Source organism: Homo sapiens, chromosome 15, assembly GCF_000001405.40.
Source record: "Homo sapiens chromosome 15, GRCh38.p14 Primary Assembly".
NCBI classification, from domain to species: domain Eukaryota; kingdom Metazoa; phylum Chordata; class Mammalia; order Primates; family Hominidae; genus Homo; species Homo sapiens.
The window spans coordinates 93993186-94010131 of record NC_000015.10 but is presented as its reverse complement, the minus strand read 5'-3'; the positions used below and the strand labels follow the sequence as shown (position 1 = coordinate 94010131).

The following is a 16946-nucleotide window of genomic DNA, read 5'->3' as shown; positions in this document are numbered from 1 at the left end:
TGGGAGAACAGGTGTTTTCAATTACTCTAATGAACGCAGTCTTGGCTTTCTTATAGTAATCACCACACAGAACATCTCTAACATCATTGACATATTCCTTGAGATCAAACTTTCTTCTTTATTTTCATTTATCTTGCTTTTAAATATATTTTTCGAAGAGAAATTTCATCTCAATAAACTCAAGACATGGTTCTCTTTTCTGGTTCATTCCTGTATTTTTATTTGTATGTTTCTCCTTATATGATCCTAATCCAAACAGCTCTGAGTTTGTTCATATAGCATATAACACTCTGCTTCCAGCAAGAATTTTAGGTGGTTTGTTAGTAGGGCTGCCAGCGAGGCAGAGAGAGCCCCTGGCAGACACCTGTGCTAAAGCACAAAGACCTCTATCTCTTTGCTCAGTGTGAGCAGGAAACATTTCATCTCCAACAAATCAAAGCTTAGAACATCGCCAAGTCTCACGGCTCAGGAAGCTGGTGACCCTTTGGTTATCTACACCAATTTCCATCCTCTATGGAACAGCTAGGTCTTCATATCCCAAAGGCAGCAAACGCAGTGTCCTCTGTCATCCTCGGCAGAGCACACAGTGGCAGGCCCAGAGAGATCCTTATAGGTCTGCTGCTCGAGTACTTGGTTTTAAGTTGCCAGGTGGGAATTGTGCATCCAGAGAAATCTCTCTGACGCTGAAACTTCAAAGACATACAGATGGTGTTACATTATGAATTTCCATCTTTCTACATTGGATAACCCCTTCCACATAAAAGAAAAAGAAGGCTACACATTTTTACAAATTCTTTATAGTACTCCAAGCCTTAAGAAAAATGTATTTCCACCAATGTGTTTTCATGGCTCTCTGATAACAAAGTCTAGAATTTTGTATAGTTTACTCTCTAACATCCATAACATCCATGCATGATAATGTCTGTTGCCTAGTGTAACTGTTTATAAGTTATATCTAGCAGCATTTGTATTTTAATATTTACAAAGTAATTGTTGCAGTGGTTGCTAGAAAAACAAACTGTCTTTCCATTTGATTAGTGTTATGTAAATTTTCATTAATGTTATATTCTACCCTTTAGGTGAAAATGTACGAGTTTCATATGTGTGTACAATTTGTATGTGTGTGCATGTATATGTGTATGCACACACACACACACACACACACACATATTTTTTCCCTCAAGCAGGACTTACATTTTGATATCTGTTGCATTAACTAAACTGAGTCCTTTATGAATCATCACACATGTTACAAGACACTGATCACTGCTGCTCTTTCCTTATCTCCTTGACTGTCTTGCAAAAGACTAGTCACTGGGTGAAGAACCCAGGATCTAAAACAACATTATTCTTTAGTATTATAGTTTAAGTGCATCTGAAGGCAGTCTGGTGACATTTAAACAGCAACACCAATTATCTTCAAGTCAGTGGGCTGTGTTCTGATGTTATTAGCTAGGGTGACCGCACGTGTTGTGGAGCTTGTCAGGGGCATTTCAATGTCACCTGTGAAGGGCTCACAGCTACTCTCCATGCATGGATCAGAGAAAAACTATGCCAGCTCTCATTGCGGTTAAACATGCTACATTCCTGGTTAATTTGTATTTCCTGGATTTATAAGGTAGAGTACTGTAATACCTGATCTTAGCATATAAACTCCCTAAATTATCCAGCAGAAACTGCAGTGTGTCTTAGATTTGAGTTTTAAAATGGAAATTAATTCATAGTGCCAGGACACACTCTCTGAGGTCAAAGTTGACAGGACAGGAGAGGCATGCTTCGTCCAATAGACTTTCCAGCTGAGCGTAGATTCCACCCTGGCAGGCCAAAGTCAGCAGGGTTGGGAGTCATAAACGGGAGGTCTGGAACGGTCCCCCAAACCTTAGGCAACTGAAATCTGGCAGGGAGAGTCTGACAAGTGAGTCAAATAGTTTCCCAAACACATCTGTGCGAGTGAAGAAGGATCTAGCAGAGCCAGTCAAAACCAGCAGGGGAGTTTAGGTAGGAAAGGCTGAAAATTGGCCACATGGCAGGAAAGTTGCCTGTCAACATGTGTTAAATGCCCAGGATGGGAGCAAGCACTGCACCAGGTAACTTGCAGGAGCAGTGAGGTGAATATGATCTTTAGATGGTGTCTTCGGAAAACCTCAGATTCAATTGGTTTGCAGGACAAGGGGAATCCAGGGCCGCATATGTCACCCGGCACTTCCCTGTTACTCAGATCTCCCTGATCAATTTACGTTCTCATCAACAGCATGAGCTTTATGGCTTAGTTTTTGGTCAGAACATATCCCATAATAATTTGCAAACCCCAGACTCTGGGGGAGGAAGCTAAAGGAAGGTTTAAAATAAAAAGGAAAAGAGGAAATATGCTTAAAATTGGAACTGTTTGAACTAAAAAGGAGGTAAAGAATTAAGGAATGAGCTCAGAACTACAATTACAACAAGAAAGCTAATAGAGGCCAGGCGCGGTGGCTCATGCCTGTAACCCAGCACTTTGGGAGGCCGAGGCAGGTGGATTGCCTGAGCTCGGGACCAGCCTGGCCAACATGATGAAACCCGTCTCTACTAAAAATACAAAAATTAGCTGGGTATGTTGCGTGCGCCTGTAATCCCAGCCCCAGCTACTGCGGAGGCTGAAGCAGGAGAATGGCTTCAACCAGGGAGGCAGAGATTGCAGTGAGCCAAGATCGTGCCATTGCACTCGACAGTGGGCAACAGAGTGAGACTCAAAAAAAAAAAAAAAAAACCCAAAAAACCCTAATAGAACGAAATGGCCCTTTGGTGGAAAAAGAAGAGGCACAGGAGCTTTAAAAAAATATCTGAAAGGCTGAGACTTCAGAGGGCCATAGTAAAGAGAGGAAGGTAGACTTCAGTGGTATCTTATAGCTGGAGCTATGAGATCTAATGGCTCAATTTTCAGGAATTTTGTGACCTGGTTGTTAAATACAGCCATTATTAAACAGTAAAATATACAAACAACGACTAAATAATCTTATAACAAAGCTAATAAATATTCAAAACACATCACTTTCTAATTATTCCACTACATTTTGCCCTTATCTATGCTCTTCGGATTGCGTTGTTTTACCTACATAGTGGAAATACTATGTAATATGAGATACTCTGTCTCTCTTCCCAAGTCTACTTTCAGTGACATCAGACTGGCAGCCTAAAATCCACCATGGTGAGAATACTTACACGATGAAAATTGAAAAAAGCTACAAACACAACCTTGGTCTATTATTTTGCTGCTTGTCTCGACTTAAGAAAATGACTATGGAGCAACTATTTATAATGTAAAATAAACTTAAAATATGTCAAGTCTGTAGCCGTTACATGGTGAATTGCATAGGAAATTAACGAGATTATATTTTGTAGTATCGGAAAACTATTATCTGACTCAAAAAAAAATGAGTAAGAATTTTGACATACATCTTGATTAATTCGCTTCCCTTTGATTAACTCAAGTAAAAGAACACATCAATATTCATGTTGAAACTTCACTTGGTTAATCAATTGCAGTTTTAGGTTGGCTATAGATACAGGAAGTCAGACAAAATCAACAATAGCATTCTGTGAGAAACAGCTAGTGATATGGAATTTATAATAAAGAGTACTGTATATTTTATTATTATTTATCAGCTGTTTGCCACATATCCTTTATATGGATAAATTTATAATAAACATGTGGTGTCCGGAGTTGGTTCCTTCCTGTGGGTTCGTGGTATCCCTGACTTCAAGAATGAAGCTGCGGACCTTCACGGTGAGTGTTACAGCTCTTAAAGGTGGCACTACCCAAAGGGTGAGCAGCAGCAAGATTTATTGTGAAGAGTGAAAGAACAAAGCTTCCACAGCATGGAATGGGACCCAGCGGGCCACTGCTGGCTAGGGTGGCCAGCTTTTATTAACTTACTTGTCCCCGTCCATGTCCTGTTTCTGTCCTATCAGACTGCCCTTTTCTCAATCCTCCCTGTGATTGGTTACCTTTAGAATCCTGCTGATTGGTCCATCTTACAGAATGCTGATTGGTCCATTTTACAGAGCGCTGATTGGTGCATTTTACAAACCTCTTGCTAGCTACAGAGCGCCAATTGGTGCGTTTTTACAGAGCACTGATTGGTGCATTTTACAAACCTCTTGTAAGACAGAAAAGTTCTCCAAGTCCCCACTCCACCCAGGAGGTCCAGCTGGCTTCACCTCTCAATGTGTTTATACTTTTATCTGCATTTTTCCCCAGAGAGCTGGTCATTAAACATTTATCAGCACATCATTGAGTGGAATCCAGACAACAATTTAACAGCAGAAAATGGTAGGGTGTAGTTGGGAAACTTAGTGGTGGGACTGTAAGAATGGAACCTAAAATCATAATTGATTTTACCTTCAGATTGGACAGCAGATAGTCCACTTAATAAAGCAAATGTCAGACTTTCTATGTGCTTGATGACAACAATGTAATAAAAGTCAGTGAATGTGGCTGAGCATGTTGGCTCATGCCTGTAATCCTAGCACTTTGGGAGGCTGAGGCAGGTGGATCACTTGAGCCCAGAAGTTCGAAACCAGCCTGGCCAACATGGTGAAACCCTGTGTCTACTAAAAATACAAAAAAATTAGCCAGGTGTGGTGGTGGGTGCCTGTAATCCCAGCTACTTGGGAGGCTGAGGCAGGAGAATTGCTTGAATCCAGGAGGTGGTGGTTGCAGTAAGCTGAGATTGCGCTACTGCACTCCAGCCTTGGCGACAAGAGAGATTCTGCCTCAAAAATTTGAAAAAAAAAAAAAAAAAGGCTTATACCCTAAGAAATTTATGTGTGCAGTATTTGTGATATATCAGTTTGCAAATGTGATATGTGATGGAGATAACAAGAGGGAGTGTCCCTCTTTCTACCCCATGCACTCACTCACCTTCACCTTTTTGGGAATAAACTGAAAACACAAAGCATTGTTACTCATATGTAAACCATGTAGGGAGTATCTCTGAGGTTCTGGACCAGCACACACTCTTCAGGATTAGAGTCCAGAACTCTGAAGATGAAGGCACTATGCCCCAGAGCATAAGAATGTTGAGTCACGGCATTTCTTACAGGGGATTTAGCTACTATCAGCCTGAATGCCTCTCCAAGGTGACTCCAGAAATCCAAGGTTCTAGCGCACAGGCCCTGTCTTCCTCAGGAATGCTATTCAAATAAATCCCCCGCCCTCCTCTCAGGCCAAGTTCTGTCTTGTTGCGAACCAAGGAGGAGCAAACAGCCCAGCTGCCTTCCACTCTGAGCAAACTGTGTTTCAGTGAAAACAGCAATTACACAAGAGTTAAAGATGAGGGAACTTCTTGGCCGGGCGCAGTGGCTCACGCCTGTAATATCAACACTTTGGGAGGCCAAGGCTGGTGGATCACTTCAGGTCAGGCGTTTGAGATCAGCCTGGCCAACGTGGTGAAACCCCATCTCTACTAAAAGTACAAAAATTAGCTGGGTGTGATGGTGTGCACCTGTAATCCCAACTACTCAGGAGGCTGAGGAAGGAGAACTGTTTGAACCCGGGAGGTGGAGGTTGCAGTGAGCCGAGATCGTGCTACTACACTCCAGCCTGGACAATGGAGTGAAACTTGGTCTCAAAAGAAAAAAAAAAAAGAATGGGGAAACTTCTTATAAGACTGATTCAGGAAGCGGTCTGGGTCAAATGATAACCACAGTTAGTCTCCCTCTCACACACATGAAAGTCTGCAGAAACATAGAAACAACATCCCCTTGTTTAAACTAACTCCAAATAAGGTGATCCAAATCTGGTACCCAAACTCATCGTGCAGGTGTAATAAACAGCACTTCCAGATCAGAATGAGCCTTAAAGTATCATCTGTCCTCTATGATGGCACGATGTACCTTCTATGTCCATTTCTGGAGCCTTGCTGTTGATAGCTATCAACAACAATGTTTGGAGCAGTCTGAAGAACTTTAGAAAGGCAACCAAAAGGCTATTTGGGAATAGCTTTTGAATACAAACTCTATCCATCTATCAATCTATGCCCCCATCTCATAGAGCTAATCTGATTGAAGTCTTTTTACTAGGGAGCCAGGCAGACATGATTTTTTACAAGCTGAATCGCCTGGGGTTTAAAGGTGCCTGCAAGAAGTTTGTTTGTGAACAACTGGGTCTGTATGCAGCATTGTGTGAAGGGGAGGGGGCAGCAGAAGGAGAATGGAGAATGCTGCATGGTCTATGCTTTCTGTTCAAATATGCAGCACCTGGGACATGCAACAATCATTCAACAATAAGTGTATTTATTTTGTGTGTACTTTATGTCAGGCACTATTCTAGGCACCTGAGATGTATTGAAGAACTGTTTCTGAAGAGCTTATGCTCTAGTGACATGATATTTCATATAAAAATTACATATGCATATATTTATATATATAAATCTAGAACATATATAATGAGAATATATAACTACTATATATACTATAGCATACAACTATTATATTCTATATACTACATATAGAATATTATATACTATATATACTACTATATTCTATATAGAGAACATTATATACTATATATACTACTATATTCTATATAGAGAACATTATATACTATATATACTACTATATTCTATATATAGAATACTATATACTATACATACACAACTATATTCTATATATTATATAGGATATATAATTATATATAATATATAATGAGAATATATTAGATATATATTATAGATCTATATATAGTATACATATACAATATATATTCTCATATATATATTTAATATATAATACATTATATTATATAAATATATACATTATATCATATATAGAGTGTATGTTAATAATATAATATATGCTAATATATTATATATTAGTATATATAGTATATAGTATTCTATATATAGAAAATAGTAGTATATATAGCATATAATATTCTATATATAGAATATAGTAGTATATATAGTATATAATATTCTATATATAGTATATAGAATATAGTAGGTATATGTTATAGTATATATAGTAGTCATATATTCTCATTATATATGTTCTAGGTTTGTATATACAAATATATACATATATATTTTTATATATCAAATACCATGTCACTAGAGCATAAGCTCCTTAGAAACAGTTCTTCAACACATTCAGGTACCTAGAATGGTGCCTGGCATAGATTACGTTAGATTAAGTTTCATATAATTATATGAAATTATATAATTCATATAATCATATGAAATTATATAATTCATATAATCATATGAAATTATATAATTCATATAATCATATGAAATTATATAAATTTATATAATCATATATAATGGTATATATAATATAATAATATATTGTATATTATATAATAATATAATATATTATAATATATTATATTATCAATATTGTATATCATATATACAACTATATATAATGAGAATATATTATATGTACTATATATAGAACTATAACATGTAACTACTATATTCTCATTACATTATATATAATTATATATGATGTATGATATATTATTATATATTCTATATAGTATATAGAATATAGTAGTATAGTACATAGTATTCTCTATATAGAATATAGTAGTATATATAGTATATGTATTCTATATATATACTATATATAATATATAATGAGAATATAGTAGTTAATTATACCATTTTAAGCCACTACATATATACCTTTATATATATACCTATGTACCTATATATATACCTATATAACTATATATATACCTATATATATATACTACTATATATACCTATATATATCTCTAGCTGGGGAAAAATGACTTCATCAGTTCACCAGAGGACACATTGGTTGGTTCTCCAACATTTGTTCCTCCTTTTCCCTACAGACAAATGGTTTGCGTGGGCTGAGTAGACATCATGAATTGTCTAATCCAATTATGGTAATGCCATCCTCCCTGACAGTGATTAGTTCAGGAAATAAAGCCTAGGGCAACCACTGGTCACAAGGCAGTCCAGTCAATGAAATGCTCAGGAACATCGCTGGGAGCTGCGGAACATCCATAGTCTCTCTTTTTTCATAGATAGTGTGTTGCATGGTTGAAGTAGAAACTCAGAGGTGGGAAAAGTTGAAAGATACACAGAGAAGTACAGCTGGAGCCCTGATTTAAAAAAATAAAATAAAATGTACCTGAAACTTACTCCCTCTGTAGACTTTTTAATTGCATAAGTAAATAAATTCCCTTTAATGTTTCAGCTAGTTTAAACTACTTTCATTCTCTTGCAACCTGAACCATCTTAACTGACACTCAGCAAGATGTGGCATTAGGGTTTGGAAAAGTATGTCAGTAACTCAGTATTGTAAGGAAGTGGAAATATGTGCCTGGCCATGTCATCTGTGCATATTTCTCCTCCCAGGACCATTCTATTCCTGGCCATCTCTGTCACTTCAGTGGAGAAGCCATGAGCAACGTTCTCAACGTCCAACATTCCTCTCTTATGGTTAGTCCTTGCCCCAACACGACATAGTTCTGAGACATATTGTCCAAATAATCATTCAGTTTCCCTTAGGAGAAGGAGGGAAAAAATAGGAGGGAAATCAGTGAGGAAGACTCACCAGATGTATTTTTTTTTTTTTTTTGGCAACTAACAGAAACATCTGAGCAGTTCAAATCCCCCCCTTTTCTGTTAGAGAACACTTGCTGCTGATGTATATTAGTTGTATTTTGTTGACATGTGTTTTTAATAATAATGATGATGATGAGAAAACCCCCAAAAGTTGATAGCAAACAGAAAAATGCTAGTACTGACAAGGATTTGTTATTTCCCTAAAGCCAGGGAGTGCATTTTTGGGATGACCTGGGGTCAGTCTCCATCATCAAAATCTCACTGTTCTGAGCATTTCTCTGCTGAGTACATTTCCTTTAGTGAACTGAGAATTATTTACTTTAAAAAACCCCTCTAAACCTTTACTCTGAATTGCAACCACAAAGGTAGAGATGCTCTTGTTTTTGTCTGGGGCATTTCCCCCCACTATCTGCTATATCTTATTAAATCGTTCAGTGTCTGTGTCCATATTGCATTATTTTTTTCACAGACGAAACATTTTGTCAGCTGTCAGAGACCGTGAAAAAGTGACCATGTTAAGACATCTGGCTTGATTACTGGGGACACTGAAGCTGAGGCCTTCCAGAAGAGCAGACTCAGAACAAAGTCTTGTTCTTAACATTGTCTCAGAAGAGGCAGTCTTTAACACCTCATCTCCAAACATCGTACCATGTTTACCTCTGGCACACGCCAGCCCCCCATTGTAACCGATTGCTCCAACTTGGCTCACTCGCTCAGCTCGGAAACTCAGGGCTCAGCCAGCTCTCCTATTCAGCCCAGCACTGGGGCCAGCCTGGCTCTAACTGGAAGCCACCTTCAGTTTGCATTCTGACCTGCAGCTCTCACCTTCATAAGCCAGACTTTCAGAGTGTTCCAATAACTTGGATTAACTTAAATATTTACAAACTTTGGGGGGTTTTGTGTACTTTATGTATGTTCATTGTAGAAAATGTCCATTAAGGAAAAAATCCCCCATATGCTACATTCCAAAGATAACTACTACTAATATTTTATGTATGCATTTTCAGATTTCTTTGCAAATATTTTTTCAACCTCATACACAAATATATATCCATCTATATCTATATATCTATATGGATATGGATAAATACATTTTTAAATATTCTAATGTGGATGCATATGCCAACATAATATATAAATAATTATACTATGCATATAGTTTTATAAGGTACTTTTTATTTTCCACAAAGAAATTGTATTTTATTTTCAGTAAATACACATGTACTTTATCATTGTTAATGAGATGAGGTATTCAATTATATTAATATCTCATGTCTTACCTGTAATAAATGGACATTTTATATGATGACCCAGTTTTTTATTATTAAATAAATTGGTGCTTCAATTTTAACCAAGTTATGTCACTGTCATCTAGGATACATTCTTAGAAGAGCATTTCCAATGTAATAGGATTTAGATACTTTCTAAAGTTTTTGCTACATATCTGTATTTTGCTCCAGAAAAGTGGTACAAATTTATGCTTCTAGCAGTAGTGCATGAATCAGCTTAAGCTTTGACTGTATTTAAATGTTATCTCCAGGGTCGATGATTAGAGGGATCATGAAGATGGCTTTCATGTTACCAGTCAGTTACTATTCAACCAGGTCAACAGTGGTCAGTACCATTGTTGATGTTACAAAGGTTGTGAAATCCTTAACGACATGACATAATTTAGTACCAAGTGACAACTGACTTAAAGAAAATCAGATATAAGATTCATAATATATTTGCAGAGCAAAAAGCACCCTAGCAAAAACCAAAACTAGGTATTTCATGTAATTTTAATCACAGATGCAGCATTCATATGTGATGCACTAAGATAGGGCCCCAAACAAGTAATCTTTGCCTAAATTTTCTCTTTGGTTCTAGGCCTATATTTCTTTCTTAGTGCAAGATATCTATCTATCTATCTATCTATCTATCTATCTATCTATCTATCTATCATCTATCTATTGTCTTCCTCTATATAGTTATGTAATCCCATACCTCCAGAGTCCAATTTCCAACTCTTTTCCCAACTTTCCGATTTCTGTTATGAACGCTGTCAATTCTCCTGTTTCCCAGGCTCAACATGTCTGAACTGTCTTTAGCACATCAAAATCATTGCATTTCTCTGTAATATCCCAAAATCTGGGCTTCATATCTTTCTCTCAACATTTCTGGTCTCCTTGCTACCTGGGTTTTCCCGTTTCTCATTCACTTGTTATTTTATGACTAATTTTTAAATTTTCCTGAGTTGTGACTCGGACTCAGCTACTCGCCACATCAAATGCTCTAAACGACTCCTGACTGCTTTCTGAAATAAACCCAAATATCGTATCTGGGTATCCCAGGCCTGAATGCTTTCATCCCATTTAGCTGTCGCATGATGTCCCTCTCAGTTCTCCCCTTCACGCATTCTCCCATCTAGCTGAACTGGAGTATTGCTGTGCTCTGAACATGTTCCACGCAGTTTTCATTTTAAAATTCGCCCTGATTATTCCTTCTCCAGGATGCTTCTGCTCATCTACTAGTCCCATGTCTTTACTATCTACTCCACCTTTAATATTTCTTCAGAGTTTTAATTCAAAAGAGACAAGAAGCCTTCCTCCAGTGCATTTCCACTACATATTATTTAGTCTTTGGACATGATAGGCATTTGTTTCCTTGTATCATCCCTGTGGTTAGTCAGTTCAGCCGCTTGTGAGCAAGGGCTATGACTTGTTTCTCCATAAATCTCCTGCAGTTACCGGGTGCCTCGAGTAGAACAGTTGCTCTAAAATAGCTGTTGGGTGCCATGAAGATAGGAAAGGCTAGAAGGGGAATTCGGTAGGCTAGTGAGTGTTAAAAACATGCTTTAATACTTGAAAAGATGTAAAAATGACTTTCATGCTCAGTGGAAACTCAAGTCATGTTAGATACTCCAAGTTACATGATACATTTTATACTTTTAGAAATCTCAGAATCTAGGAAGTGACAATGGGTTTTTCACAGATAAGTTAACTCTATGAGGGCTACTTTTTATTCCAAGTGGCTGTTTTTTAAGGGCCAGTACCGTCATAAGGCTTTGCTTGATCATCCTGTACAGTGATGAGGCTGTTTGGAAATTACACTCCTCCCCTTCCAGTAACTAGCGTTCCTCACCTTATGTGAATTCTTGGTTTTTCTAAGAGAGAGAAAAAAAATCCCTTTAAATTTCATTGATACTCCTTTCTTTATTTCTCAAGCTCCTATTTCTTGGAAACCTATAACACCTTCACAACTGGCATGCTCCAAGTTGAATGGGTCTGTGAGGAAAAGTAACTTCCACTATTGATAAGGTTGCTGCCCCAATCCCCAGACCCCAAAAGGATAAGGAAGACAAGACACCTGAAAGATTTATGACATTGTTTTTGGTTTTCATATTTTTACACTAATTTTGAAGAAGCATAAAAACTAGCATTTTACTGGTAACTCAATTTCTACCAATGAGTGGAGTTGGATTTAAGGTAGTGAATTGAATAAGAATTTTGGGTAATAAATTCATCGATTTTGTGCCTATACAATTATTTTAATACTGATACTAAGTCAAGATATTCAACTGCTCAAAAACCTTCCGTGGGTCCCCGCTGTCCCTAACATTTAGCCCACGCATGACCTGCTAGCCCCTTTTATAGTCAAGCTATACCTTGACTTGAAAAGTATACCTTTACATTCTTACTTCTAAATAAAATAATGTAGGCATGTGATGCCAGGCTATAACATTTAGTTTAATCCAGGAAGCAGTTGGAACCATTTACCACATTTAACATGGGGAGTAGCTGAGTCAGATCCATGCCCTAGGGATAAAGGAGTAGAGTAGTAAACAGGAGCCCTCCATGAGAGGGAGATGGGCACATTCACAGCATCACTCCTTGCATCCTTTAAAGGTTCCACTAGTCCGGATGCTGATTCTGGTACTCTAAACCCTATTCAATGCCCGTATTTATGCATGAAACATTCCCAGGTTATTTCACCTTAAAGGGACAAATAATTTCCTTTTTAGGCATTCTATAGCACAAATCGTCTGAGAGATCGTAGAAGCATTCAATTTGTGATTGCTTTGCTATATATCGTCTTACATGATCATTTAATGGGTTTTTAATGTATATTATTTGTTTCTTTGATTAGATTATAAATTCCTTGAGACCTGTGATTATATTGTACACATCTTTAGAACCAAGGGACAAGTTTACATAATGTATTTACTGTAGATATGCTATCAACATTTGGCAAATATTGTTAATGCATAATGAAGTTTACTTTGGGAAACGTGATTGCTCTGTTACCTCTGGCTCCCTCTAGTGATGCCCAAAATATGACATCTAGCTGCACATTTCTGTTTCATCCCATTTGTTGGAATTTTATGACTATCAGATGTGATGCAGAGAACAAATTCAGCTACAAGCAAAACAAAAATTATAATTATGATATATAACAATATTATATATTAAATGATTATGTGAGACAGTGATCATGTAAGACCATGATATATAGCAAAGCGATAGCAAATTGAACACTTCTATGATTGCACAGAAAATTTGTGCTATAGAATATCTGAAAAGGGAATAATTTGTCCCTTTAAGGTGAAAGGGACAATAAATTATTGTTGTGTTATATTTTGCTTGATTAATAATATCATAATTATTACAGCCAAAGCGCATCAATCTCCTATTTTATGCCAAGGGCTGCTGAAGACAATGATACGTATTTTCTCACCTAAACTGCATGAGAATCATGTGAGATAGCTATTATTGTCTTCCAGCATTTACAGGTGAGGAGACCAAGACACAGCAATGTCTAGGGACTTGCCTAAGGACACACAGTGGGATTTCCCTCATTCTAGTGTGGACAGATTGGAGCATGTGAATGGATACCTTGAAACTCTGGAATAATTAGGCTGCTGGTTGGTGTGCTTTACCCCTAAATCTTACTCAAGAATGGATGGTTCTGACAAACACATGTGCACAGCAGGCAGTACTTAGTTTATTTTGAAAAGAACTGAACAACCGCATATGGCAATGGAAATAAAGGAAGCTTGTTCAAATGGCCAGTCTACGCTCAAATTTCTAAATGAGGTAACTATTTCAGAATAAGCCTTATTTTGTATTGTTTTGCCTATGAATTGACCTAATTAAAAATTAAATAATTTGCATGGTAATAACACATGTACCTTCTCATCTGTTAGTATCACAACTCAAATGGAATTAAAATTTAAAATGTCATATAAAGTGGGAAAATAGTAACTCATGTTAACATTCGTATTGATCTCTTATTGTATGAGAGAGAGAATCATATCACTAAATAAAGAACAAAGTGCATAAACTCAAAAGAAAAGTCTCTTTCACATTCTATGTTACCTACTTGCAGGGAGGTAAATAATGTAGGTAGGTCTTACCTGAATGATGGTAGATTATCAATACAAATCTATATTTCCATACAAATATACATTTTTCAATACAAATCTATATTTCAACACAAATATATATTTTTAAGTATAAATTATACATTCTTCCTTGCTAGACAGCACTAATATTTTTTGAAAAACAAAACAAAAAAAATCTCTCTGTCTCTCTTTTCCTGAGCATACATTATTATTAACAAGAGGCATCTGGTTCCCATTAATATTGAGAGAAGAAATCTATCTTAGGAATTATGGTTTAAGTTGAATTGTAGGGCAGGAGAATTAGCCATCCGTCCTGCTTCACATGCATTTGTAGTCATGCTAATCACCAGCAGGAATCAAGTCAGTCTCTCTCTCAAAATGAATTAAATAATGTAAAATCTCTTTCACTGTATTTAGGGCAAGTGAGCCATATGTGCATGTGAGATCGAGAGCATGAATGTGTGTGGTGTGTGTGTGTGTGTGTGTGTGTGTGTGTGTCTGTGTGTGTATGAGGAGACGGGGAAAGGAGGAGAGCAAGAGAGGAAAGTCCTTGGAAATAAGCCATCATGTTGCTGTTCATAGCAAATACTCCATCTACTACAAGAAAAACATCAGGTCTTACAACTTCTCCATGGGTTTATGAGTACTACTTTTAGGGATTATCCAGGTACTTGGAAAGGTAGTCAAAAAATAAATGATTTCTCATTAAAAAAAAAAATAAAATGGAATTTGCAGAGCCAAATGAGAAGTCTCCAGGAGTAAACAATGGCCTGTAGCAGCCAAAAGATGTAATGTGAGTGAAAAGCAGGGTTGCTTAGTGCCCGGAACCCTTAAGTCTAAGCAGATAGAATTAGATTTGCAGCCTCTGCCTGCCAATCATTTGCTCTGTGACCCTGGAAAAGTTGCTCAGCTTTTCTGAGCCTCCTTTTCTTCACCTGTGAGTGAAATGATTGGTATTTATGTCACGGGACCATGGTAAGGACTAAACTAAATGAGACCTTCTCTTTGAAATTCTTTTAAGGCCCACAGTGTGGTTGAAGCTCCCAATAATACTTGGATCCTCTTTTGGTTTCTTTCATCTTACCTGGGGAAGGCCGGTTGCCAGTCTGTCACCTGCTTGAAATATCTGCACATAGCCACGCTAGTCTCACATAATGGCAGATCCTGATTACCTTAGATGAAGTAAGATAAACAGATCAGAAGCTTCGGTTCTGCCTGGACTAATTAAATAATGGCTTGTTCATCTACACTTTGGCCCCCAGCCAGATGGGAGTCAAATATGCCAACCTTGACTTTGCCCATGAAGATGCATGGTTCCCTTCTTTGCCAAAGGAAAAAAAATCAAGTTTGAGAGACAGTTCCTATTTCTTAAAAAGTATTTGGGTGTGCATACATACCTTCTTTTGCTTTTCTTTCCTCCCTTCCTTTTCTCTCTCTCAACCCTTTCTCCCATTAAAAAGGGGTTTGAGTGTAGAAAAATGTCAACTGAGTTTCTCATTTTAATAAAATAAGCACCTAACTTAAGTGGGGGAAAAAAGCATTTTATGAAAATATGTCTCTCTTGCTTATGAAGTTGAAATCTTGAAGTAGTTTGTCATGGCTAAAATTTGGCACAAAGCACTGAATATCCTTTGAATGATTATATTAAGATAGAGGTCAAAAGAAGAAGAAAATTGTTCCACAGAAGGCCATTAGATATTCCCATAGGAAAAGTACTATAATGGTCCCATAACTATACACTGTTGAAACCACTGGCTCACAAAATGCAGAGTAATGAAATGAGGCTTGTTTTATACTCTTGCTTCATTAGATTTCAGGTTCAGAAGTGAAGGGTTAGAATATGTGGCCAGATGGGCTAGGAAAGCAGTTTGAAGAATAAAAGAGGCATCAAGGAGAGGTCAGATGTTCCAGAGTAAGAAACTTCTCATAAAGCAAATGGAAATGTAAATTAAGCCATGGCAATATGTCACAGGGGCATAATAAACCTTGACATTTCCACAATGTGTGAGAACTGTTATACCCTGTGCTCTGCAGATCATATTTGTGTGATATTCTCTTGGATGAGGGCCATTGACAAGTGTTATCTTTAGAAATTGTCTTCAGTAGTCCAGGAATGGAAAGCAAAGACTCAGATCAAGTTGTGGGGGAAAGAAAAGTTATCATCACTGACTGAATGCCAACTGCCTGCCAAGTACTACGCTAAGTGCTTTCCATTTTTCTCAGTCCTCAACAAAAGTTTTATTCTTTCGAGATTGTTACCACCTTCTTGCAGATGAGATAACATAGTACTGATACTACTAAATAATACGTCCCAGTCAACATGGCTGATGAGTGACAGCACTGAAATTTTACCCGAACCTTGATGAGTTTAGTAATGTTTATTTCTTCTCATTACAGCAAGTCTGCCATAAAGAAAAGAAGTAATTTATTTACCTGGAATCTGAGATGACTTTTCTAATCCAGCACTCCCAAAATGTGCTAAAAGGGACACTAGCCTTGGGATTATTTCCCAAAAAAATCATTGCTGTTTAATGTGTGTGTCCTTATATATTCTTCGGTGTCTTTTCAAAGATTCAAATGCATATTAGCTTACTTAAATTTCTGACAACCCCTATGCTAAAAGAAATAAAGCTGTTTAGCTTCATTTAACTGAACTTCAAAATTTTCTTTTGACCACAACACCTTTAAATCTCTGACTGAATCAGTGTTCATCCCAATATTCTTTGAGAAATGCCATTCCAAAAACCAACACGACATTCCTAATCTTCCTCTTGTCTGGTCGTTTCCATTGGCAATGGATTAACAAACATGCAGGATTGAAAACTCACGGCCAGTAGGAGAAGGACCTCTTTCAATAAAAAAGAAGAAGTCAGGATACATGGAGCAGACCAGTGTAGAACATATTTAGTTTTGGGTTTTGATAAACAGAGTTCAAATCTAACCACTGGATAGGCAAACTTGGACAAGATTTAATCTCTCTA

General features: G+C 37.2%; 1 long non-coding RNA gene across 1 annotated transcript in view; it reads left to right on the top strand.

Moving 5' to 3' along the window:
* The window catches only part of LINC01581 (long intergenic non-protein coding RNA 1581), a 202536-nt gene that overhangs the window by 97807 nt on the left and 87783 nt on the right, over positions 1 to 16946 (top strand). The window contains exon 3 of the long non-coding RNA NR_120320.1: positions 8373 to 8456. This is a non-coding gene — a long non-coding RNA (long intergenic non-protein coding RNA 1581). The remainder of the gene's footprint in view (positions 1 to 8372; positions 8457 to 16946) is intronic.